This window comes from Homo sapiens, chromosome 9 (genome assembly GCF_000001405.40).
Source record: "Homo sapiens chromosome 9, GRCh38.p14 Primary Assembly".
Lineage (NCBI taxonomy): Eukaryota > Metazoa > Chordata > Mammalia > Primates > Hominidae > Homo > Homo sapiens.
This window is the reverse complement of record NC_000009.12, coordinates 14215255-14243152: the sequence shown is the minus strand read 5'-3', so window position 1 is coordinate 14243152 and position 27898 is coordinate 14215255. Positions and strand designations below refer to the sequence as shown.

At 37.7% G+C, this 27898-nt stretch overlaps 1 protein-coding gene across 30 annotated transcripts in view, besides 1 other annotated feature; it reads left to right on the top strand.

The window, feature by feature from the left end:
- NFIB (nuclear factor I B) overlaps positions 1–27898 on the top strand; it is a 450235-nt gene that overhangs the window by 288925 nt on the left and 133412 nt on the right. The window lies entirely within an intron of this gene.
- Positions 4228–4989: an enhancer, noted in NCBI's record as "OCT4-NANOG-H3K27ac hESC enhancer chr9:14238163-14238924 (GRCh37/hg19 assembly coordinates)". NCBI's record gives its function as "activates a minimal SCP1, AML or CMV promoter by ChIP-STARR-seq in naive H9 embryonic stem cells {active_cell/tissue: H9 hESC(naive)}" and the evidence as "EXISTENCE:reporter gene assay evidence [ECO:0000049][PMID:30033119]".

Genomic DNA, 27898 nt, shown 5'->3' with positions numbered 1-27898 from the left:
AATTTTTAAACTCTAGTCTTGATGACTAAAATGTTCTCAAACTTGGTTAAATCAGCTATCTCTTTACATAACTATTGGATTTCTTTCAGGGGGCTGTTTCCTTACCGACATACTGTACAAATAAATGCAGTTTAATATAGATATATCTTGATGTGTTTAGATTTGGTAAACCCTCTTATCTTTCAAACATGCATCATTTATTTAAAATGCATAGGCATATGTTCAGAACAAAGTTATTTTCAGTACATATATATTCATTAGCCTGTGTGTGAAAGTACATTTCAAATCACAACCATTTCAATATTTGTTTTTCTTTCCAAACTTTCTTTTCTCTCCATCTTGGTTTAATTGAACCCTAGACCTGAACTCTTTAAAGCATTCCTATGGAGCCAGGGTACATTTGAATGTCTTTGACTGATATAAAATAATTGCTTTGTTGATCATATACCCATGCATGATAAGATATGCATAAGAAGAAATCTGGTACAGAAGTATAAATAATACTTATCTTTAAGCCAGCATCTGTCATCTGCTTCAGCAGACAGTGCTTGCTTTCTTCCTAGCACAAAAAGGCCTGAAAGATTTATGGAGCAGCTTTGTTTGTGCTCTGTGATGCTTAATCAATTTTTATTAAATTCTAAAGTAAAACTTGGCTTTCACTTCAGTGACATCTCTGATGTATAGAACAAGGGGAGAGATCATGATGCCCTGAAAAAGTTAGGCATGGGTGATCTAAATCCCCAATCTGTTTCTTCCTGCAGGACTTCTTGCAATAACTTTTGTAAGTCTGAAGGAATCCTTGTAGGTTTGCAATGGAAAAAGCAAATACAGCCCAAACTTTAGACTTTTCAAACTTCTAGAGAGTGGATATTTGTAATTTGTTTTTTAATACTCATGCATATTTCCATATGTGGGAAAAAACACATAAATTCTTTCAATGTGCAGATAATGTGCTCATTTTGCATTCAGAATCATCTGAAAAATAAAGACTCACTAGTTATGTTTACAGAGAATCTTAAAACTTTTGGTAATTGAGGTTTAACATATTAAATATCTGATAGACATGTGGACTCTGTCGCCTTTTGCTGGCTGGTTTGCCTTATAGGCTTAACTTCTGGAATTTTTTTTGCCTTTTCAAACAAATTCTTCTGGTTGAATATCAGCATATGGTAGGAGGCTCACTCTGAGACAGGATAATTTATAAATGACCATTTCTTGTCTTGTGATCTTATGTATATAAAGAATCTAGAGTCATGAGTCAAATTGGGATTTTTGTTCAGGAAAAAGGTTAAAAAATTAGACATACAATTGGCTTTCTTTGATTCTGTGTCTATAAGGAGAGGAAGAATGGGATTTAATTTAAAATATATTTCTGCATTGAATACTGATATTTCTGTTTTTGAATTTGCTTTTTTTTAACATCTGGTACACACCAGACTAACCTGTACATATTATTCCTTTGGAAGCATATGGTTGTGGGCCCTGATCCAAAAGTAGCTTATGTATCTACATTTCAGAGTGTAAAGTTTCTTGAAGAAAGGTGGGGAGGGAACAACTATGAGATATGTTGTTAATTATTGTTTATTTTCTAGGAAATATGGCAAGCTGTAAACTTAAGATGACAATATCTGTTTTTTTTTGAATTATGTAATATGCTACTTTGGAGAAAGTCGATTAAAGAAAAATTTGGAAGCCAATTCTTACGTGCCCTAGGAAAATTAATAATTCATGCAGCTACTTCTGTCCTATCAGTCATCTTTTCACTGCCACATTTATACTTATGTATTATGAACTGCTGTTTTTTTAGTTATAAATGCCACAGGTAGATATGGATGTTGATACTGATATAGTCTATTTATCTACTTATTACCTAAACCTTGATGCATATTCTTGTATTTACTTAGCCTTGGTAATGGCCTGGTCCGTTATGCATACATAACTATTGAGGCAGTTTTTGAGGTTCTGGAATTATTCAAAAGACCTGGCCAGAAATGGTTAAATGGCAGGTAATTGCCGAATACATTTGCCCCTCATTTGCCTAAAAGGTATTCGGTGCCTGAGTGTATTCTTGCCATGTGCTTTCTTTCTCAGCTGCGGCTGATTCAGAAAGACCCATTGGAATTACTGTGAGAGTAGAGAAGAAACCCTGAATTACCAAAATGAAGACAGCCCTGCTCAACTTGATATGCAAATAAGCTTTGAGGATACAGTTTAGTTGGTCCTGGCTTTCTAACCTCAGAGCTCCATCTTACGCTGTCACTTGCCAATGCTACTTCATTGTGATACTTGCAGCCTACAAAGCTAGAGAGTTTGTCTGCTTTCTGTGGAGTAATTTTGAGTAGATGAACTGAGGCTTGGGAGAGTTTGCCAAATGAGGTGGTGATGATGGCTAAAGAGACTTGGACTTAGGGAGTGCTTTCTGGCAGAAGTACAACGCAGACGGTATCATGTTTTTGACCATGGTACTTTAGACATGCTGCCAAGTGTTTGTAACGAGATAGGGCTGTTACTATACTTTGCTTTTAACTTTACTTTTGCATACAGTACATCGTTCTTGTTTTATAAACTGTGTCGCATACTTTTTGTACCTCTATAAACAAGTGAAGCTGTTGAGTTTTTGGATAAAGTTTGAAGCAGTCTTGTGTTGCTTCTTCTTTGCTTTATGCTCCAAGTTGAGAGCTGAATAGTAAGATCTTTTTTCACACCATTTATAATGCGATGCACATTTTGAAGGCAATTTAAATTCTTTTGGCTCCCCAGCCATATGCTTCAAAATGGAAGCATTATGCATGTCTGAATAGGGGACTAGGTAGGAAATTGGAGTATAAAGATATATGGCAGGATATATAGTAGGGTAATATTATCTATTGAGAGAGAGGGAGAGAAAGAGAGAGGGAGAGAGGGAGAGATGGGGACAGAGAGATTAATTTCACTCTCTAGGAATTTTTCCAAACTTTAGGCCCAATTTTGCTGAAGAAAATTTAAAATGTTTCCATAGGCTACACAGGAACTTTTATGTATGCAATTTATATATTTAATGAAATTTTGGAACTTGACCAGTGTATTATTTGAGAAATTGGCAATATAGTCAAGAGTAATGGACTTTAAGGTATAATTTTTAATGGAAGGACAAAACTAATATAAGTGGAAACCATATTCCTCTTCTTTTATTACATTTTTTACTCATTCCTTTTTATGATTTTATTTCTCTTCATCCTCACCATCCCCTCTAAATTTTCTTCAGTTTGTTTCTACATTGGAAAAGTGAAATGTAATGTTCTCTTTAACATATAAACTCTTGCACTCTCTCCCTCTGGAGGGTATCTTTCACTGTTTTCATAATTTATTCTGCTGGGTAGAAAACCCCAGATTCCTCCAATATTCTGAAAATAATTTGTACTTTTTGTAGATAGAAATTTCCTGTTTCGAAGCTTCTCTCATTATAATCGTGTAAGGTTCTTGTGGTTATGCCTCATTGATCACATGGATATCATTATAAAATAATTTGGCTCATATTTGGATTTATATGTTTATGTATCTTTAAGTTAGAACAGAGATTCCTTTCTCATTCTTATTTAAATGTTGTTTTCTTATCTTTTCTCTTTCTGTTTTCCTTCATAGATAATAAGTGACTTGTAGTATTAGATCATACACAACTGGTAGTTTCTTCTGTAACTTTCATCAGAAATGAGTATTGTGTCTATCCAGGAGTTCCTGCACTTTTTCCTGAAGGAAACAGTTTGTATGTTAAGTATACCTCTAAACCTTATTCATTTGAAGTAATAGTCTTAGAACATATACACATGCCATTTTCCTCTTTTCCTCTCTACACCGTGGATTTGGAAATTATGGAAGCTTTTTACAAAAAGACCTAATGGGATTTATGTGTTATTTTCTTTGTGACCATTGTGTGAAAACAGTTTTCAAAGTTAAGTTACTGTTCTCCTGTGTAACATTGTGAATACAAAATACTACAAACCTTTTTGGTTAAATGATGGAGGAGAATCAATTTGTTCTTTAGGACAAATTTCTTAATTTTAGTTTCTTAGAATCCCTATGTAATGGGCATATTACCGACTGCTCTTGCAGAATCAAATGTAACTCCTTTTCCTATTATAAACTATATTGTATAACATAACAGCTTTTGAATAATTATCATGTGATGTACTTTCACCATCAGTTGACCTTATGCTGTTTAGGAGACACCAGGGAGTCCTGGGAATTAGGAAACAAAACAGAGAAGGGAAGAAAAAAAAGCAGGAACTGAATTTCCTTCATTCATTCATTTATTTTTGAGAAGGGTGGAGAAGCCCACAGATTTATATCTCGGTTGGGTGAAATTGTGTTACTGTTTATCTGTACCTTTTTCCCCCTGTGGCAAGAGACGTGGAGAATAGACACTCACTCCCAAAGATACCAAGTTCCAAAGCACTGAGTCATGAGTCCACAATGAAATACTAGGATGCAGCCATTTCCTACCTTTGTTTGGAAATGAACTGATTGGACCAGGCGGATGTAAGCCCTCAGCTGCAGGGCTTTACAGAAGGAAATGCTTTTGGTCTCTCTTAGGTACTCGATGCTGTTCTGTAACTTCTTTGTATTTGACTGAAACAACCAATGTGAAAATGTTTCCTAGACTATATAAAATTCAGCGCATGCACCCTTCTGTCTGTTTGTGCACATATACTTTTTATGTGATGGTAGGGAAAGCATCAACTGCTTTTAATGCAGTGAATTTTTAATGTAACCTTACGTATTAAACTCTTCACAAGACTGTCTCTCTTGAGTAGTCTCATTTATATTTGTAGCCCCTACTTTTAGTGGTGACTTCCAGGTGCTGTGTGATCTGACCCTTGCCTCCCTCTCCCCAGTGAGTCACTCTGCCTGCCCTTTCAGTAGCAGCAATACTACCATCCCTCCAGTACAGCTGAGCCTCAGGCACTTTGCTCTGTCTGTCCTTTCTGCTGGGAACCGTTTTTTTCTCAGATGATCGTAGGTAGGGCTTGCTCCCTTACCTCATTCAGAGGAAGACTTAAATTACATGTGCCCCCAAAATCTCCTACCACTCCAGCTACCACTCTCTTCTTCCCAGGTCTTTTTCTCCTTACCCTGCTGTACTCTTTGCCCCATAGCTACCTCACATATTTCATATTCATTTGTTTCTTGGTTTACTGTTTCTTACCCCTCCTAGACCGTAAGCCTCATGTGGGTTAGGACTTTGATAATCTGCTGTTTTGCCCAGAACCCAGAATATGGTAGAATACACACACACACACACACACACACACACACACACACACACACACACACTGTTATACCTAGCAGGGTGAGGAGCTTACACACACACACACACACACACACACACACACACACACACACACACACACACTGTTATACCTAGCAGGGTGAGGAGCTTGGTAGATCAATAATAAATGTTTATTGAATAAGAAACAATGTAGATCGGCAAGAGATGTTGCTGACCTCTTATATTGGGCTATTTGGGAGTTATTTAACTTTTGGATGCCTCAGCTTTCCCATCTGGTATGTGGGGACGAGATTTTGCATACCTTGGAAGCATGTTGGGAAGTCTGATTAATAATGAGTAGTAATCATGAGCAGTGAAAAGATCAGACACCAGCTCTGTTTAATGAGAAGGTACATAGACATAATGAAGAGCTTTTGTGCTCAGTGGGCAATGGTATATCTTAGGTGGCCAAGCTTTTCCCTGTGTGTGCTGGCCTTCGGCACTTTTTGGGTGTTAGGGATTTTGATGATCTTCTGAAGATGGATGAGAAGAGGGCTAAGAATGGCTAAAGCTTGGAGAATAATTTGGGGAGTCACAGTAAATCAATAGGATGAGATAGATGAAAGAAATTGGCTCTAAAGAGAGCATTGGAAGTTTTAGATTGTCATATTTACCACCTTCAGTTCTCAGACCTGATAGTTTTCAGTGACGTAGCCTTTTAGGAATTTCAGAAGTGTGATTTTACCTTGAATTTATTAGGGCTAAATTCAATTGTTTATGTTTATGCAGTTCATAATTTTGCAGTTTAGTTTGTGTGGGTTAGTGGCCCTACTGTTCAACTGGATGGCAAATCTGTGCTAGGAGGATACCATATGCACAAGTATTTTCTTAAATAATGTTGGCGTTTGCCACTGGTGTTAGGGGAAGAAGAAAAAAAAATGAGAGCAATTCTGGAAGCCCTCCAGTAAGGGGTTAGGAAAGAACTTAGGGACAAATGCTCCTACTTGGAACACAACACCAAATAGTGGCTTTTTTGTGTTTTTATTTTTTTTTTTTTAAAGAGAAGCCAAAATTAAACACAGTAGAGTTTACTGTTTGCTAATCAGCATGTGTTTACTTTCTCTTCCAAAACTGAAGTTGCCAACCAATACATTTCCTACCCAGTGCTATGAATCTGTCCAAATAAACATGGGAAGTAGTGAAACAATGACACCACATGAAAAATATATCCTTATTCATTAAATAGAATCCAAAAAATTCTCTGGAATTTAATTGTAGCAATGACGTGAGGACTGTCTGGTCTATTAAGAGAGGATAGTGACTTCCCTCTTCAGTTAGTCCAGCACGGATGAGTGTGATCTTAAGTGGCTCTACAATTCCACATGCATCGTCCTAAATCTAGATACATGAAAATGGATCATTTCCTATCAACCCCTCACTCACACCCGTGGACTCTAGGGCATTTGTGGTAGAGTTTTATGGTAATTACAAACATAAGCAGCTTGTCAGAATTCAAATAATCAATTTTAATTTCTGTCTCAATCACTAAAGATTACTGACCACTATGATGAAATTAAGGAGTGCTTTCTCTGGAGATTGCAAACACAAGGGCAGAGAGAAGTTAGAAGCTTCTATTTTGTGGTCAGTTTTGAAAAATACAGTCAAAAGCAGTAGCCATAATCAACATTATAGAGAACCTTAAATTCATAAAGATGCCAATTTAGCTATTAGTGGGCAGTTCCATATAAAACTGGTAGCTATAATGCGTACACATGTCTTTGTTAAGGGGCTTTGTTGTAGGAATGGAAGATGAGGGTATAGTGATTATTGTGTTATGATCAATGCTATTATTTAAATATGTCTTTAAAAAATATCCTGTACACTCTTGATACTGGAGCCCAGCCTCTTGTCTTCCATCAAAATCTGCTTTTAGGAAATAATGCAATATCAGGCATTGATTCTTTATTGTGAGTTTAAATACATAATGGTGAGCTTGCAGTAGTAATTGTGTTAAAAACCCAGTGGGTAAAGTTTCATAGTTAAAGTTCAAGCCTTGGGGATAAGTGGTGTTTCTGATAAGGACAAGCATTCCTTCTGACAAAACTCTTACTGCCCAGGTTACTATTTTTTTCTTTCTTGTACATATCAGGTCCTAGTGATGCTTCTGGACGAGCCTCAAAACAAAAGGTTGTTCATTCTTTGAAGGTGATTTAGCACCTAATTGTAATTCAGCAGTACGTGAAGATTAGAGTTGTTCTATCTACAGCAGTACAACAGTGCTTTTTTTAAAAATAAGAAATAAATTAACTGAACAACTGTGCTTCGTAATTCTTGGACTTAGGTAAGTGACATATAACCAAATAAGAGTTGTGTATAAAACCAAGATGATAGCCCATGAAAACCCAAAGGGATCTTTTAGGGTGAGATAGTATATGTCAAAGTTGTCAGGCAAACTGTATAAACTTGGTTGTTGCCTTTATTATCTATTCTAATCATTTACAGATAAGGAAGCTGAGGCCTTCAGCACTAAGGTCTCACACAGGCTTTTACAGCTGGTGAGGAACAAGGTCGGGGCTGGCAATACTGGGAGTTCCTAAACACAAAAGGCATTCTCCTCTATCAGTTTGCCTCCCAAGTTTTAAATGATGTCCTTTGAACATCAGATCGCCTTTATCAAAAAATTTTTAAGCCTGAATTTTAAAGGAATGAGATGGAGTGAATTAGTGTGAAGTCTTTTTTTCTGAGCTTGGTGTTTATTCTTTATTTTGTTTTCAATCGTATAACATTTTCTGTAATGTCCCATTTGAGTAAAGTTATCATTATCCTCTATAGGCATATACTTATTAAGTACCTACCAGTTGTGAAACCCTAAATAGTTAAGATTGCCACATTTGAACTGCAAGAATAATGAATGATTTAAAAGTCTAAAAGATTTGGTTATTCAACATTTGTTCAAAAAGACCAAATGAGCATATGTGAAGCTATTTTTTTTTGTCCCCTGGTTGATCCAGTGATTTCACCTCACTATTGTTATTCTGATCCTCTTGGATCTGGTTTTTAAAAACGTATGTTGAAATAGTTAAAACATACCCAAAAAAAAAACCAAAAAAAAAATTTCAACGAACAAATGCCAGCACCACCAAGTTTAAGAATGTTTAATAAAATTTTAGTTAAATTGATGTAAATTAAATTAAAAATATGCTAGTTTTACAAAGCATAACTAACAAAATGTTAAAAAAAAGAGTAGACCAAGTGCAGTGGCTCACACCTGTAATCACAGCACTTTGGGAGGCCGAGGTGGGCAGAGGTCAAGAGTTTGAGACCAGCCTGGTCAATATGGTGAAACCCTGTCTCTACTAAAAATACAAAAATTAGCTGGGCGTGGTGGTGCGTGCCTGTAATCCCAGCTACTCAGGAGGCTAAGGAAGGAGAGTTGCTTGAACGCGGAAGGTGGAGGTTGCAGTGAGCCGAGATCCCGCCACTGCACTCAAGCCTGGGCAACAGAGCAAGACTCCATTAAGAAAAAAAAAAAAAGAGTAATGATAATATACCTACATGCCTCCTCTTATCAATCTCATTCCTTCTTATCCTACTACACCATGAGGTAGCTTCTCTCTTAAATGTGGTGATTTTTGTTCTAGTACTTTTATTGCATGTACTTCTGTTGCAGATGGGTTTGTGATCTGGTTTTTGATGCTGAGAATGCTAATCTCTCTCTGCCATCCAATCTAGAGAGTAATCCTCTGACATTTTACCTTAGGATAATTTCTCCTAGGTTTGACTGTTCAATAAGTCACAGGACTGCAGGCTTCAATCCTGGATTTTCCAAGAGTCACAGAAGTTAGCTCTAAGTCTCCTTTCCTTGACATGTAACACAATAAAACAATGCCCTTGACTCCTGTTTTGCTAATTATAATTGATAGGTGCTTTCTATAAGTAAAGCATCTATAAGTAAGATGTTATATAAATTAAACAAAAATTTTCCTTTTGAATATTGGAATGAGTGCTGATGGTGACAAAACTGCCCTCAGAGTTATTATTTCAGATCAAAATTGATAGACTAGAATTAAGCTACAATATTTCAGCTCAGACTACTAGTTAATTTTGTCTTTGTACATATGCTCACCTTTCAATATTTGTAGTTTGCAAACAGTTATTAAAGAATAATAGCAAAACAAGTCTGGGCCCAGTGGTTCACGCCTGTAATCCCAGCACTTTGGGAGGCTGAGGCGAGTGGATCACCTGAGGTCAGGAGTTTGAGACCAGCCTGGCCAACATGGCAAAACCCGGTCTCTACTACAAAATACAAAAATTAGCTGGGCGTGGTGGCCTGGGCCTGTAATCCCAGCTACTTGAGAGGCTGAGGCAAGAGAATTTGCTTGAACCTGGGAGGTGGAGGTTGCAGTGAGCCGAGATCGCACCACTATACTCCAGCCTGGGCGACAGAGTGAGACTCCATCTTAAAAAAAAAAAAAAAAAAAAAAAAGAATAATAGCAAAAGAGCTAAATACTGGGTGTCAGACTTCACCAAAGCTCTTTATGGTTAAATTGTTAGATGTTTTTCCTGAAAATTTTTAGGATCACTTTCTGAGAAATTCCTTCACATCTGAAAATTTCAGCTTCCAGTTTCTCATGAAGGGATATAAATAGTTTAACTATTACTTACATTTGGAAATAAAATATTTAAGGCAATATTTGTGTGATTTTGCATTTTCAACACAACGTACTATCTTTATGGCTAAACTACATGTCTGTAAGAGATCTTTTGAAGAGCAGTAATGACATCAATTGTTTAGGAGGTACCACGAGTTAAACTTTCTGTTCTTTGCCTTGGTTTTCTTAAAAAGTGGTGACTTTTTGCTCTATCCTATCAAGAGCAAGTGCAGCATGTGTTAGAAGAAGGAGGAAGCCAGAGGCAGACCCGCCCTCTTGACCTGTCCCACTGAGCATGCCAGTTTGCTAGATGGGCCCTGGCCACTGTGGACTCTGCTTTAGAGACCTCTGCAAATAGGTGGTGGGCACTCCTGATTTCTTTGATTATAGACTAGGATAGTTACAGACTATAGTACATAGGCAAAACAATTGAAATAAACATTTAAATAAAATAAGTTAAATAGTTCAACTCATTATAAGAACTTGCTACACTTTAGGATTCTGTAAATCACTTAAGAGTCATAGAAAAATATAAGGATTCTGCTCCTTAAATTTCTCATTTGAAAGTTTCCAAGGTGAAAAGAATTCTTAGAAAAGAATTTAACACTGACGCTGATCCTTAGCCCTCTAATACTTTAAAATGGACTTCCAGACTTCGTTTCTCACACCTGGCAACCTTTAGTCTTCCTGTCTCCCTTGTCTTAACAAGTTCCATGATGTGAAGTAAATCTGATGGCTTTTGTTTATTTAATTTTTGCTTTCCTTGAGCAGGTAGGTGGTGTGTCAGTAGCTGAGTATCTTCTTTCCTGGTGGCAAATGATTTAGAAGAATCCAGGACCACTGTGCATTTGGTGCGTTTTGCAGCAGGAAGACAGGCACACACGGAGTTAAGCCCATGGCTGCTCTGTGTTAACTGAACATTCCCAGTGTGACGGGGTCGTAATCCCTAAGCAGATGCTTTACGGGGTCTCATTATTGTCCAGAAGTGGCTCTTGTATGAGAAAAAGCAGCCATGCAGAAAAGGCACAAACACTATTGACTTGCCCACCATGGCATACGTTTTTTTCTTCCTAACATCCATGAACCCATTTCATTCTTACCTAGCCATGGTGTCGCTCCTTCCCTCGCTACACCTTTAACTCATTAAAAATCAAAAACAGAACAACAACAAAAAACTAGAGTAAAATCATACTGTTCCATACTGATAAGAGACTGCGATTTACCTTAGGATCTTTTGAGTGTGGTGTTGTTGGCGAAGACCTTGTTTCTTTCCCAAGTCTTTCAGCCACACTGTGGCCTTTCAAAACCTTTAAGTCCTGTAATAGTATATTTTGTGAAGAAGGGGAAAAATGAGATTTTTTTCCTCCTTGCTTTTGTTAACCCATTCTTGTTTTAGACTCCAACAAAAAGGGTTTTTGTTAACTGGAGCTTAAAATCGGCCAGCTTGCAAAGTATTCTCTCTTTTTATGCAAGGAGGATTAGCTTGACATGTTATGCAGTTCTCTTGTAGGAGCCATTCACGTGTCCTGTCATAAGGTGTATAATTACTGCACTTCACCATCAGCAATCATTCTTAAGTTAAAACCTGTTTTAAACCTCTCATTAATATAAATCATACCAGCAAGGTAGAAAATATACCTTCAAAAAGAACGAACTGTTAGGGAGTTAATCTGTTCTTTTCATAATAGACCTGGAGTAAATAATTTTTACTTAGCACTTTTCTTTCTATGCAATCAAAATAGTTTGTGATAAAAGATCTGGTACCCGGGATTGCATAAATGTGCAGTGTTTTATTCAGGCAGGATTGGGCTTCCTGCTTGGTGCCAGCCTCGTTTTCCCTCTGTCACCCTTGAACAGTGAAGTGTGTAATCCTCCATTCTTTTACAGTCAGCCCTCTGACAGGACTGCCTCTCTCTCCCTCTCTCTGCCTTTCCTTGTCTCTCTCCCTCTCTCTGTCTCTCTCACACATACTTGCTCATACAGATAAATTCAGGAGCAAATAGTTTTTCTTTTCAGGGCTTTCTCCCAGTGAATTCTCCCAGCATGCTTAGATAGCAATCTGAACTTACAAACAAATGTCTCAACGAATATATATATATATATATATATATATATATATTTTTTTTTTTTTTTTCCCCATGGAAAAACTGTAGGCCAAGGACTCAGATATCCCTGTTGTATTTATTTCTTAGTGGTTTGTTCTAGTGACAGAGTGGCAGCTCTGCCACTACAGCTTGGGATCCTCAGTTACTCATCTTGCGAACTCCATTTCTCCGCTCCCCCTTTGCCTTTCGCCACCAGAATCCACATGCCACTGCCTCAGAACTGTTCTGAGGGATGATTGTGGAAAGTTCAATCCAAGCTGGGCTTTCCAGGGCAGTAGGCTAGTCAGTCTCAGGAAAAATGTCTCCAATTCTTTGCACATTGTGAAAGGCCCAGTTTGATCTGGATTTTACCCACCTTTCCAAACTTGTTTCTCACTTTTCTCTCTGGAACTTCTGCCTCATCGTCTGTACAACCTGCTTCCTCTTTAAATTTGTCAAAAAGTGCTACTTTTTTCTACCTAAATGCCTTCACTTCTATTAATCCCATTTCCTCCAGCTAATTTTTATTCACCCTTTAAGTCTAAGCTTAAGCTAATCTTCCTTTTCTCTTTCATGTATTTTTAGTTAAGTGCGTACTATGTGCCTGAAATTATTCTGGGTTCTTGAAATTCAGGGTTCATTTGGATATAGACTATATCTCTGCTCTCATGGGACTTACATTCTAGGAGAAGCCTTCAACAAAGAAGTCTTCCTTGACATTCCATTCTGTTAGCGCCCTTTATTTTGCATTTCTGTTGCTCTCTAAGTTTCTTCATAGCATTTTATTCACTCTGTTAAACAAATATTTGTTAATACCCATTGGAAATAGTCATATAGCTTGGACAAGTTCTGCCTTCCCTGATGAACTCAAAGCTCTATGAGGACATGATCTCTGACATATGTCTATCCAGGAAGATAGAAGGCAATTCATAGAACCTGAATGAATTAATAAATGAATGGCTTTCTCCCTGTCCCCAAATATTATAATTGTACTCTGCCTGAATTATTTTATACCATTCTTTTATACTGTCTTAAAAATACCACTAATTAGAAATTCATCAGGTCAGGCCAGGCACAGTGGCTCACGCCTGTAATCTCAGCACATTGGGAGGCTAAGGCGGGCTGATCACCTGAGGTCGGGAGTTCAAAACCAGCCATGAACGACATTGGAGAAACCCTGTCTCTACTAAAAATACAAAATAATTAGCCGGACATGGTGGCATATGCCTGTAATTCCACTACTCGGGAGGCTGAGGCAGGAGAAGCGCTTGAACCCGGGAGGCGGAGGTTGTGGTGAGCCGAGATCGCGCCATTGCATCTGCTTTTCTTTATCACCTAGCAGATGTTAGTGGCTGCAGGATGGGAATAAAAGTCAGGTTGGGAGGGGATATTTTTAGAGCCTGGAACAGAGAGAGGTCTAAGATGGTTGGCTCAGTGAGGGTCTTGCACTGGGCCCTGAAGCCCGGAAGGGAAGGTGGAGAGGAGTGCAAATGATGAGGAAATTAAGCCTGGCTTCCTTCAAGAATTTATGTAAAGCTGAGAACTCTGTTTCTTTCTTCTTCTTCCTCAGCAGAAAGGAAGAGAGTTAAAATTAGTAAAGATTTTTTTATGTGCCACAAACTTTACATACATTATTTTATTTAAGGCATTATTTTATCTCCAGTTTATATTTAGGAGCCAGGCCTTTTTAATTCCAGAATTAGTACATGTAAAGCTGACACTCTGCAGCCTTTTGGTGCTCAATTAATGTCTACTGAATGAATGAATTTATTGTAGAAGTACTTGATCTCCCATTTGGCATAATTCTTCATAAGGCCATCGTCTTTAGACTCAGAATTCCTGTTGGTACTATTGGTATGATGGTTGAGTTGCATTCAGGATTGAATTGGGCTTTGCGTGCTGGTGTAACAACCTGATCACCTAATATGTTATTGGTTCAATAGAATTCATTGAGTTCCGACCATTAACTTACCGATGAGCTTTTAGAGCACGAATCAATAGTAAGTTGGAGATTACCTGTACGTGAATGTAGAAATATTATAAAATGAAATCGTATGTAGTTGATTTTCCTGTGATATTTAGGGCACTTCTTTTCTCATACTTAGTTTAAGTGAATTTCTCTACTACTGTTTTTTTTTTTTTCCCTGTAAACCTGCCCAAAGCGTTTTTACAAGTAGGTGGTACATATAATAATGATTATAATAAAAACAACTACCTGAAAATTTAAAAAGAAGTAAAAGAGATAAAGGAATTTCTAAGATTCCAAAAAGATAAGATCTTTTTATGTGTCCCCATTTCATATTGAGTCACCTGGAACATGGCATTAAATTAGTTTTGGTTTGGGTTCATGTGAAAGAGAAACCACATGAGTAACACACTCTAATAAAATTAAAATACAGTTACAAAGAGACATCTCAGATGGACTGAAAAAGCCAAACAGTCAGATCCTTTCTTACGTAGTGGTAAAGCCTGGCTAGAAAGGAAGCTTTTTCATTAGAATATTTTCAAAATCAAGCATACCTCAATTTGCAAGCAATTTGAATTTATGTGGAATTAATATAGCCCAAATAAATTAAATGAACAATTAAATGTTTACTGTTTTGACCACTAAAATGGAGTGTGGCTTTTGTAAATGGGTTCGAGTGGAACATTGTATAGTTTAGATGTGGGAATTACTATTAAGAATCGTGGCCGGATGCGGTTCTGGGAGGCTTTGGGAGGCTGAGGCGGGTAGATGACCTGAGGTCAGGAGTTCGAGACCAGCCTGGCCAACGTGGTGAAACCTTATCTCTACTAAACATGCAAAAAATTAGCCAGGCGTGGTGGTGTGCTCCTGTAATCCCAGCTACTCGAGAGGCTGAGGTGGGAAAATTGCTTAAACCTGGGAGGCGGAGGCTGCAGTGAGCCGAGATTGCGCCACTGCACTCCTGCCTGGATGACAGTGAGACCCTGTCTCAAAAAAAAAAAAAAAAAGAATCATAAAGTTTATTATTTCAATAATCTAATATCTTTGATGCATATGATTCTGTTCCTATATAATTATTTTTAAAGTCAGTAGTTTAACACAATAGCTTTAGATTCCTTCTACTGGTTACTATATGTCTTCAAAAGATAGAAAATGCAAAGTTGTATGAGTCATCTGATTAAAGGAAGAGTAAATGAATTATTAATGAGTTAAAAATAAAAACTTGGATACTTGAAAATGATGTTGAAGTATATAAAAATAAATTATGTAAAATTGATTTAAATTAACACCATAATAAGACATGAATTACTTCAAAATACTGAGAGGTTGAGTGGCTGGAGCTTAGACTCCAGAGGTTCAGAAGGTTCCTCTCTGCAGCTAAACAGCAATATTAACTTGGGCACGTTATTAAACCCATTGAGGCCTCCCTTTCTTCATTTGTAAGATGGAGTTGATGATAGTATCCACCTTGATGATTTGTATTGAGAATTAGAGTGAAACATTGTGAATCTTGTTACAAAAAGCTTGCTTACAATTGACATATGTAAGGGGTGGTTATTATCATCAACAACATTGGAGAAAATAAATTTTTTTTAAAAAAACCATGATTACAGTACCGTTGTAAATTTTCATGCCAGTATTCATATTACTTAGGTTCAGGGAAAATAACTAATTCATGAAAATCCAAAGTAGGTGTGCCTTTCTCCATAGTATGATATATTTCAAGTCTATGGAGAGATATTCAAGAACAATGTTTTCCAATTCATTGGTTTTTAAAAAATTCATCCATGCTTTGTTTATTCAACAGATAGTTTTGAGTACTTCCTAATATTTCATGCCCTATACTGACCTAGAAATGAAAAGCACAGGCTCTATCCTCAAGGATATCACAGTCTAAAAATAAGATCTCACCAGCAAACTGGGAATCCATTTAGACAATGATAGGTGGCAGAAATCTTTCAACTGATAAATTAGCTTTTAAAATTGGTAGTAGTTTTCTGCACATGTTTAGAATATATTTCTTTTCTTTTACTTTACTTTTCTTTCTTTTTTTTTTTTTTTTTGACACGGAGTTTTGCTCTCGTTGCCCAGGCTGGAGTGCAATGGCGTGATCTCGGCTCACTGCAAACTTTGCCTCCTGGGTACAAGCAATTCTCCTGTTTCAGCCTACCAAGTAGCTCGGATTACAGACATGCACCACCACGGCCGGCTAATTTTTTTTGTATTTATTAGAGACGGAGTTTCACCATCTTAGTCAGGCTGGTCACGAACTCCTGACCTCAGGTGATCCACCCACCTTGGTGTCCCAAAGTGCCGGGATTACAGGTGTGCACCACCGTGCCTGGCCAAGATTTCTTACTCTCTTCCACAACTTCCCCACCCATGTGAGTTTATGATAAATTGGGAAACCATTTGGAATCCAAACAAAAAAGGTGATTTTAATTATTAGTCCATCGAAAAGACAGAATTACCAGAATAACTACAGTTCTTTATTTCTAAGGTTTCTTTGGCTGTATTAGTCTAATATTTATTTTTAAAATGTGATTAGCAATTATCTGGACTAATTTTTAAATATATGCTTATATTAATAAAGCTCATAAGAAGTATTTTTTAAGACTAATATGCTTATATATTCATTGCTTTTTTTTTTTTTTTCTGAGATAGGGTCTTGCTCTGTTGCCCAGGTTGGAGTACAGTGGCATGATCATGGCACACTGCAGGCACCACCGCATGCGTTCAAGAGATCCTGTCATCTGAGCCTCCTGAGTAACTGGGACTACAGGTGCATGCCACCCTGCCCGGCCAATTTTTTAGTTTTTGTAGAGATGGGGATCTCACTATGTTTTCCAGGCTGGTCTCAAAGTCCTGGACTCAAGTGATACTCCTGCTTCAGCCTCCCAAAGTGCTGAGATTATAGGGGTCAGCCACTGTGCCTAGCCTCATTGTTTTTGTTGATGGTCGTTTTACCTAATAGACTTTAGCCAAAAAAAAGTTATCCAAATATTGTTTATTAGCTTGTTAAAAGGGAGATGATCCGTATCTCAATGAATAAATATTTTCAGCCTGTGTTACAAAGCCAAATTGTCATCATTTAGATTTTAGAAAAAAAAAAATGCTCTTTAAAATGTATAGTACATACCTTCCCAATTAATTATTCTGTTAGTGCTGTATTTAACAATGACAGGGAATTAAAGACTATAATAATTAAATCTGAATTAGTGTTAAAAATTTTACCTGATCACTGTTCTAAATCATATTTCAATGAATTTTTCTGAAATGTGATTCATTCAGATTTCAAAAGGAAATAACATGTATTTCATCAGAATGACAAAATGTTATATATACAGTCAGCATAAAAGAAAAAAATCATTAAAAAACATTTGGCTTGGATCTTTAAATATTTTGTTCTGTATTTCTGGATTTTTTTTCTTTTGGCTCTTCTGGAGAATTACAGTAAAGTTGAGAGTGAATCCTGATACTCTGATAGAGTCAAATCTCCCTTTAAGCCCCATGCCTATGCTGGAAAACTTACTATTACTTTCTATATCAGACTTTAATATTATAAGCAATGATGATTTTTTCATGTTGTTTCTATAAAATGAAATTTTATCCTAAATCTAAAGTCATTAAACCAAAAAATTCCAGGCACAATCCATCACTTCATTTCAGCACAAGCTCAATCATTGCTTTCAAATCTATCATATTACCTATTTTCTTCTTCTTCTTTTTTTTTTTTTTTTTTTTTTTTGAGACGGAGTCTCGCTCTGTCGCCCAGGCTGGAGTGCAGTGGCGGGATCTCGGCTCACTGCAAGCTCCGCCTCCCGGGTTCACGCCATTCTCCTGCCTCAGCCTCCCAAGTAGCACCTATTTTCTTCTTGAGGAGGAATGTAGTGTAAGGATGAACCTAGTACCAAACAATAACTGGCTTCTTAAGAATGGGATTTATATATTTTTTTATAGCATTCTTGAGATAAGAAGATTCTTGGATATCCAAAGCAAATGTATTTAAAAAACGAGGTTACAGTTTTTGTTCTAAATAATACCTTCTGTTCTCACTTATATCTGGAATTTTAAAATGTTGGATACTTAGAAGCAGAGTAGAATGGTGCTGAGGTGGGGAGGTGGGGAAATGCAGAGATCTTGGTCAGAGGGTACAGAGTTGCAGTTTTGTAGGATGAATAAGCCTTGAGATTTAATGCAAAAGTTGAGGACTATAGTTAACAATATTGTAATGTATACTGGAAATTCGCTAAGAAAGTAAATGTCATGTGCTCTCCTATAAGAAAAGGTAAAAAAGCCAACAGGTTCTTTCAAAGAAAAATTTATAAAATTGAGAAACCACTTATCCTCTCAGGGAAGATACTGTATTCCTATTTTAAAGGTAAAGAAAATACGACAATGGAAAATACAGTCGTTCCATGGTATTTTGGGGGAATTGGTTCTAGGACCGCCCCAACCCCAGGCCCCACTGGGGATACCAAACACCATAATGCTCAAGTTCCTTGTATAAAATGGCATAGTATTTGTATGTAACCTGTGCACATCCTCCCATATACTTTAATTCATCTCTACTTACAATACCTAATACAGTGCCTACATATCACTTCATTTGAGTGGATTCAGCATAGTACTCAGTGTGCAGCAAATTGGAGTTTTACTTTTTGTAAGTTTGTGGAATTTTTGTTTTCTGAATATTTTTGTTCCATGGTTGGTTGAATTCATGTATGCGGAGCCCATGTGTATGTACATCATTCTGGAAGAGACTAAGATAGGGCAGAACATCCAACTGTGATCCTCTACACCTTGATTTTTCTCAGGACACTTTCAATCTAAATATTCTCTTTAGTTCTTAGCTGTTATGTTTTAGTGATAAGATCATCATGGTCTTCCAATATTAGGGATATATGGTTTCTACACAGAACATCATGTGGAAACTGAAAAATAGCTGTGATCTTAGTGAACAGAAGCCTCAGCAAATGATGGCACAATTTTCTGTGTAGCCTATCACTTGTTTTCCACCTTTTTGTGTATTGAATATGGCCTTCTGGGTCAGCCAGAAATATCTTAAAAGCTGTTAATTGTTCAGGCAAACATAATAAGTGTGGGGACTGGAAGGCGTAATTGGACGAGGGACATTTTACTGTTTGTTTTATTTTGATGTGACCTTATTTCTTTTAATATTGTTTTAGATTATTTTGGAAGGCAGGGGGAATCCTGTTTGCTCAAGGGACAAAATTTGAGAAGATACACAGGACAGCCCTCAGTGACTTCTTGGCCAACTAGAGTGTAGTGGGCGGTTAGGGTGGCTGATAGGATATAGTGTGGCTGAGAAGGAAACAAACCGTTGCCCTTGAGGAGACCAGGTGGATTCCTAGTATTGTACTTCTCTATCAATCACAGGTATTTCCATTTCCTTCTTAGATTTTGATTTAGTATATTTAGAGGAATTGAGCTAGAGCTGATAAGATTTTTCTGCGTTTGCATTTCCTTGAAATTAGATTGGCCTCTAACCAGTCATGTAACACATCTTCCCCTCTTCTTCTTCCTCTTTTACACATTGAGGGAAAACATGATTTCTCAAAAAATTTAACTTTTGATTGATCTCCTATTGAATTGCACAAGAGGAGAACTTGAGGTATAAAAAGAGTCAGTGTAATTATTAAATAATTAGTGGTTTCTACATTTTTATAGACAAATGCCCTAAAAAAAATTGGAATGCTAATTTTTAAGCTTTGTTCTATTTAAATTTGTTTCTAATGGGTGAGAATTGGACTTGCTAAAATTATTACAAATAGATTGCAATTCAGAAAAGCAATGCAGTGGAGAAGTTATTAGTATCATGAGTCTGAACTGGAGTATTACGTAGTAGTCACTTATCAGTAAGGCGAGGACAAGGTCAGAGTAGATCAGCTCAGTGACCTGCGGGAATCATAAGTGTGCCCCTGCTATAGATTTCTGTCAGGAAGTCCCTGCTCTATCATCTAAGCATAGCAACTACCCTCCCTGAGCTTTTATTTAGCTCAAGCTTGTTCAACCCATGGCCTGCAGGCTGCATGTGACCCAGGATCGCTTTGAATGCAGCTCAACAGAAATTCATAAACTCTCTTAAAACGTTATGAGATTTTTCTTTCTGCTTTTCTTTAAGTTCATCAGCTATTGTTAGTGTTAGTGTATGTGTGGCTCAAGACAATTCTTCTTCTAGTGTGGCCCAGGGAAGCCAAAAGATTGGACACCCCTGATTTAGCTGCATAAGCCACTAGATAGAATTCCAGGTAATGTCTTGAGGGAGCAGTGGAAAGAAGAAATGGATTAATGTTGAGTCCAAAGAGTAGGAAAGAAGGGGTGTTTGAGCTGGTCTGCAAGGAATACGGATTTCTTTTTCTTTTCTTTCTTTCTTTTTTTTTTTTTTGAGACAGGATCTTACTCTGTTGCCCAGGCTGGAGTGCAGTGGTGTGATCATGGCTCACTGTAGCCTTGAGTTCCCAGGGCTTAAGCCATCCTCCCAGCTCAGCCTCCCAAGTGGCTGGGACCATAGGTGTGTGCCACCATGCCTGGCTAATTTTTTGTAGCAATGGGGTCTCACTTTGTTGCCCAGGCTGGTCTCGAACTCCTAGGCTCAACTGAGCCTCCCATTTTGGCCTCCCAAAGTGCTGGGATTATAGGTGTGAACCACTGTGCCTGGTCCTGGAATGCAGATTTCTAAACTTAATGAATAAAGGGACAGATTTACCTGGAAATTAGCTTGGGCAAAGGCTCAGATTACCAGTTTACCTGGAGCTTGAGGTGCATGAATTAGTGTCAGGTAACCTGAGCCTGGAATCCAGGAAATGACCCTTAAGGACCCTGAATGCCATCTGATGCAATGGATTTCCTCAGTAGGTGCAGGGCTTGTAGATGAGGGTGCAGGAAGTCTTAGGGGCCATCTTAGAATTCTGCCTTCCATGGTAGATAATGGGGAGTTTCTGCCAGTGTTTGAAAAAGGAAGTTACATGTTCCAAGCTGTGTTCTTGAAAGTTAGTATTAGTGGGATGTAGAAAGTGTTTTGGAAAGATGAACTGGAAACAGTTGACAAGGGAGGAAGTCTTTGCAATATCAAAAGATCTGAGAGCACCAGTGCATTGGAAATGGGGATCCAAGGATCAAAAAGAGGACAACTTGCTACCTTCTAATTTAAGCCAAGATTTGCTTCCTTTGTGCTTTGCGGAGGGAAAGGTAATGAAGGGTAGTGCTAAGCAGACAGGCTCTTCATGCTTTCTCTTAAACAGGGCAGCCTTTTTCTAACACCCTCATTTAATAATTGAGATATGGTGGTTCAGAAAGGGAAAATGACATAGTTACCAGAGTTTCTAAGCTTTGCCAACTATGCAGTTTAGTTTGAGAAGAGATGACTCACTGGTAAAGAATGATTAGCTGGCATACAGGGCATAAGAAGGGCAGCTTGCTCAATTATACTATGGATTCCAAGGGAGGCTGGGGCCAGCTTGGCTTGGAATTTGTCAGGACAGCTTCATGGGAGAATGTGGGTCTTACCCTGGCTGTTAAAATAAGTTATGGAGAGGACATGAGCATTACTTAAGTAAAGGTCAGAAGACAGGACCAGCTCTGTGCAAAATTGGGGAGTCAGATAAGCTTGAGGGGCAGTGTGGTATGTGGCTGTGAGCCTTGGGGTCTTATATACTTGAGCTGTGTGACTTCGGGAAACATACTTTGTCTCATGAGCCTCAGTTTTTCTAACTGTAAAATGGAGCTAATAATAATGCACATATAAATACAAAATAATTATTTCATGGCTTAAATCTAGCTGCGTATTACAAATATTGTGTGATTCAACCAAATCTATTTATACCTTATAGAGTTCTTATGATTTCTGTGTCAGATAATGCATGTCTAGCATAGTTCCTGCCACTTAATCAGTATGGCATCTTAGTAACTATTTGCAATATTATTCAAGGAATAGGAAACTTTGGAATCTGGAATTTAGGTAGAGCGGTTAACTTTTAAAGCTGGAGAAGGCTTTTACTTTGCGATATGGGGAAGTAGCCAGGTTGTAAGGGAGAGGATGTTGAATTTCAAGTGAAATGTGGGAATATCAACTAGAAGCTGGGGTCGGAGGGGCAGAGACTCCTGGTATGTCAACATTTGGCTTGGCTTGACCTCAGGATGCAGAGTTTAGTATCTTGCTGCTGATGGAGGCCTTAGAGGAGTTCAGACTTTTCGGGTGAGGGAGTAGATGGGCTAGTAGGTAGGATATAACGTAGTTCAGAGCAGAAAACTCTCCTTGGGAGGGGGTGAGAGGAATAGGAAGAAGATGGGATGTGGTGTGTGTGTGTGTGTGTGTGTGTGTGTGTGTGTGTGTGTGTGTAGGGAGATTGATTTCACTGGATATAGAGCAGAAACTTCGGGTGGTGGAACCTCATCTGCACTGGGCTGATTCTTTGCAGTTCTTCCTGAGGAAGTTACACCTTGATGAAGGGGGTTTTCTGAATGGGAAATAAGGGAGAGGGCAGGAGGAAGAGGAGAAAGTGAAGGGGAGGTGAAGTTTACGAGGTTGAGAGTGTGGGATTGGTGGGTATAAAAAGATGTGAGAGCTATGGGCTGTGATCCACTGTTGAGGAGACTGCAAGTCCAGCATCCAGAGAGATAGCAGAGAAGAAACTGGGGCTCCCAGGCGGGGCTCCTGGTTTCTTGGTGCTCTAGGTATGGTCGAAAGGGAGCCCCATGCCCAGAACTATCCTGCCTTGTGGTAAAGATGCCTCTCAATAATATTTGGAGAATGCCATGTCTTTCCCCTAGTACAATACATGGAAGCAGAATTCAAAGCATCTCTCTCTAAGCCTATGAACCACAACAAGGGCTTTAAAATAGCTTCAGATAGGCACCTTTGCCTTGTTTATGAAGCGTGTACTAATTAGAGTTGTGTTTTCTTTGTGGTATAAGCCTTTGCAATGGATCTACATTGTCCTTGTTATCAATAATAACTAATGAGATTAAAATTTAAAACAGGTGTCTGATAATCCTTGATGAAGAGAATTCAGGGGATATTGTTCCTGATTTTGCTTTCTCTCCACTTGGAAAGGAGGTGGACGAGCCCATCAGACCACAGCCTGTTGCTAGGAGGAAATTCCTTGGCTCAACATGCAGAAAGTGTAGTACGCCTAGATTACAGTTTACCAGGGACGAGGGCCTGTTGCTTTGATGCGCTCCCAAGACTGGAGTTGGAAAAGTTTTTTTGGTGTAGTTCCATCCTCTCATAGTGAAGTTCTTCATTTTCCCAGGGATGGAAGCTTTGTTATAAGAGTCCCAGTGTAGATTCTGATGTAATGATTCAAGATATTGGCTTTCCAGAGGATTCTTAATATATTGCTTTATTCACCATAGCTTTAATTCCATTGTGTTAAAAAGAATATGCCACTTTCTTGTCATCTGAAGAACTCTTAATTTCTTATATCCCATCAAATGTAGTATTATTTGCTCAAGCTTTCTTTCCAAATTTTGCTCTGGAGTGTTTGTAGACAGTTACATTTATCTCTAACATTGCTCACCATTTAGTAAAAGAAACAAAACAAAACAAAATGCCAGCAAAAGTAACTCCTCCATAAAATACGTGTAAAGCAGGAATAACATGTGAATGAACAAAATCCTGGCTTGAATCTGTTCTTTTGCAACAAATGTAATGCGGTTGTAATTTTGAGAAAAGAAGCCTGCAAACAAAAATAGTTAGTAGTTTAATTTTAGGTTTACAGTTTTGACATTGTAACCCTAAATTACATCGTATTTGGAAAAATCTCTTCAACTTAGACTTTTTTTTTTTTTTTTTTTTTTTACCCTAGTGCTACAAGATGACTCTATATTAAAGTTTCTCTGGAGATAAAATAGCAATATTTGTCAATCTATATAATAGTTAATATTCAAAGTAACGTAATTTATCTGCATCTTAGATTTGCTCTTCTTGTTGAAAATACTGGTAGTTTTAAATACGTAGAATCAAAAACAAACAAATGCAAAACTCCTTTAAACATGGCAGATAGGGAGTTGTGAGAGGCTGTGCCAAACTTCATAAGGTGCAGCATTTAGGAGAGATGAAGGGCTAAAGCCATCAGAGTTTCTACCAAATTGGGTGATCTACATGAGCTTCATTAGCCACCCCTTAATGAAGAGCCAGCACTGAAGAAATGTTTTTGCAGCAGGAGAATGAGGCAACTATTTAATGGTATCTAGTTAAAGCCAGAAGGAGACCATGAGAGGAATGATTTTAAGTTCCCTAGAGGGCAAGAAGTGTTTCTCCATGTGGTACTTCGAAGAGTAAGGTAAACAAATAGGTACTTAATAAATGTCTTTTGATGATGGAGAAGTTAAAAGGAGGGTACATCAATAACTGAAATTACCTGGACTTAACAAGGCTAAAAGTTAATAGAAATCTAGGCATCCACTGTGATCAAGGCCAATGCATTTAAATAAGTCCACTTCCAATTTCAGCTCCTGGGGAAAAGAGTACATTTCAGATGCCAAACCCCCAACCAAATCTGGTTGGTAGCAATAGGCTCTTTTGGCCCTTGGTAAAATTCCCAGTAATCCAGATACCAAAATACACTATTAAATACTGAAGAAAATTCATTTGTTCATTGATTGGGTGACATCTATAGTCATCAGTCTCTCAGGAGGTTAGAAGCCCAACTTGGAGTTCTACAGCAGTGCATTGCTGTTTGCCATGCACCTTCAGCGTCTCACATTACTGTATGCAAAGTCTTTTTCAAGCACCTGATAAAAGCTGTGTTGGCTTAGACAGAATGCCAGTGGGTGGAATCTGGGTTTTATTGGTGCTACTTGAGGGAAAACACTTAGTTCAGGAAGGCACTGAAAACAGAAACAAGGTTTTGAGGTTGTTATTTGGAGTCAGACTCTTGAGTATATCATGGAAACAAAAGAATTTTAAACTTAAAAAAAATCATTTTATTTTCTATTTGGCTTCAATATGGTGATAATGTCTGTCCCTATTTCCTGTACAACTGGCCTTTTTCTTCAGTATTTTTCCTCTGGGAAAAAGTATGCCTTCCAAATACCACCTTGGAGCTCTCAGCTCATTATTCTTATTCCCTTGCTAGGCAAAGCAACCACTGCCTTCTTAAAAGTTCGATGAAATCTACAGAGTAATACAGGAACTCCCAGCAAACACGGAAGAAACTGAGCCTGGGATGGAAAGTACAGCTTTACTGGCAAAGGATCAGGGACCTAAAAGCTTACATTTTTGTGCTCTACCACTGCCCATATATATTTACTTTCTTACCTTCATTCTGACTTAACCCAGATTTACTTACCTATCTATTTTATCTCAGTGGCAGGAGTATTTTTTGTAAGTGTTCTCATGTCTTTTGGGGGAAAGAAACAAAGTATAAAATAATAAATCAATATTGACATGGTGAAGTAATATCTTGAATGAGATAATTAGCAATATGAGTGTTTGGAGCAGGATTTTTGATGAGTCTTCCAAAATAATATAAATTTAGAGTTTGCTTAGTTTGTGTCTTTTTTTTTTTTTTTTTTTTTGAGATGGAGTTTCACTCTTGTTGCCCAGGCTGGCATGCAATGTTGCAATCTCGGCTCACCGCAACCTCCACTTCCTGGGTTCAAGTGATTCTCCTGCCTCAGCCTCCCAAGTAGCTGGGATTACAGGCATGCGCCACCACGCCCAGCCAATTTTGTATTTTTAGTAGACACAAGGTTTCTCCATGTTGGTCAGGCTGGTCTTGAACTCTTGACCTCAGGTGATCCACCCACCTTGGCCTCCCAAAATGCTGGGATTACAGACGTGAGCCACCGCGCCCAGCCTAGTTTGTATATTTTAAAAGAATTTCCTAGCATTATTGAATAATTAGATAATGTATATCTTATCTTTTGGTTGCTCTTGCCCATTCTGGAAATAATTTATAAGAAGATCTAATTTAGATTCTATCTGCTGTTAAGTGTGAATTAGTGTGAGTTGCATATAACATATATAAAAGCTGTAACCTGGGAAAAAGTTATTATCTGGAAGCTTTAGAAATTAATGTTATTCTTTCTTAAGTATCATCAGGAAATTAATCAAAATGGCCACCTTGATACCAAAAATAAGGTTTTGGGGCATAACATCCTTATGAATTCAAATGTTAGTCATTTCACATATCTTCCACTTTATTTCATTAAGTCCTTCCTAGTAGACACTGTTCAAACATTATTCACCATTTACTAATGCTGTTACAACATTATTTTAGAAGATGGATATGGATAGCTGTTCTAGCTTTTAAAGTTTTCAGTGTAAAGCACCATGTGCTAAACATTGGCCAGGATATTCTGTATGAAATGGCTTTAGTTACAGGCCTGTCTGACAACAGTTTTCATCAGAAAAGTATGCTTATTTTCCTTTCTTTTAGAAAATTTGGCTGAAAGCAATTTTGGCAAAGTCAGCATAGCCTTAAGTGTCACATGAGAAAGATGGAATTGAAGTGGCTGTTAGGTAGACCTGACCTGGGTATGGTGACTGTGGTGACATGAGTCCTTTGGAGGACACAGCGTCTCTCCAGCATCTCTCTTCTGAGGTTCACTCTCTTTTGTAGGGGCTTACCCCCTTGTCAATGCTACACACACACACACACACACACACACACACACACACACACACACAGAGGGAGAGAGAGAGAGAGAGAGAGAGAGAGAGAGAGAGAGAGAGAGAGAGAGAAAGAATGGAGAACCTTCCTTCTTACCTGTGGATACAGATGCACCTTGGCAGAGCCCACTTGCCTCCTGCTTCCGGCCTTTCTCAAACCAGACCTTTTTTAGTTTCTACTTCATCCACACAGAGACTTAATAGTGGCCAGTAAAGTGACTTGAAAAACGAATACATGCCACCATGTTAATGCACACCTTTCCAGTGGGATAAGCTCAGCCTGAGTGCCAAATTGTATTTCTTTGCACATGATTATCAGTTAAAATTATTTATATAGTTTGTTATTCATTAAATTTATTTTAGGAAAGTACACAAAGAAAAAATTGTGACCAGGCAATTAGGTAGCTTCTAAGGTAGCCATTGCCAACCTATCTTTTGTTATGAAGATGAAGTCTGTTATTTCTTAATATTGAACATTATTTTTGACTAAATTTAAATTCTACTGTATGCAATAGAATTGAAAATATACCAGCTTTATCGTCATTACCAAGAGTGATGATGATGATACCTCCTATTTATTGCCCACCCCCCATGAACAAGGTATCGTGCTGAGAATTTACATAAAGCAATTCAGTTAATTCTCAGTACAGTGCTGCTTGGGAGAGATTGCTATTTGCCTTTTACAAGATGATGAAAGAAGCTTGGAGATGTTGAGTCATTTATCTGAATTACAAAGCAAGTGAGTGGGCAAGATAGTTGAAAATTCTTTATTAAATTTGCTTTGATAACAAAAGTAATGTTTGCTTTTGGTAATACAATTGGAGTATTACAGAGGAAGTTATGCATACCATAGGAAGCTAGACTGGTTTTCAGTACATTATCCAGAAGAACAAAAAGTACTGTTAACAAATGGGGCATCTTTATCTTTATCTGACTTCTTGAGAATAATCTTTGTAAATTATCTGATCACTTTTTAAGTAGTAGTTTTTTTAAATGACTTTTTGATGACATACTTTCAACTTTCTTTGCAATAGAATCAAGGTGCATTTTAAATTTAGAATAAGCGAGGATTTTCAGGACCATATATCTTTTTACACATTTGCTTTCTGACAATTTTTCACCCCCAAATACTCAAACTTTTACTTATTTATTAGTTAACTTTTAATAATCGTTTCTTCTTAACATAGTCTTAGTATATGCAGATGTTTAAGGTTTTCATTTTCACTGCTTTTCATTTAATACCATTAAATGTATACCAGAGGTTACATTTTTCAAGTTTATTGTTCTGAGTATTTATGCCTGCTCTTTTT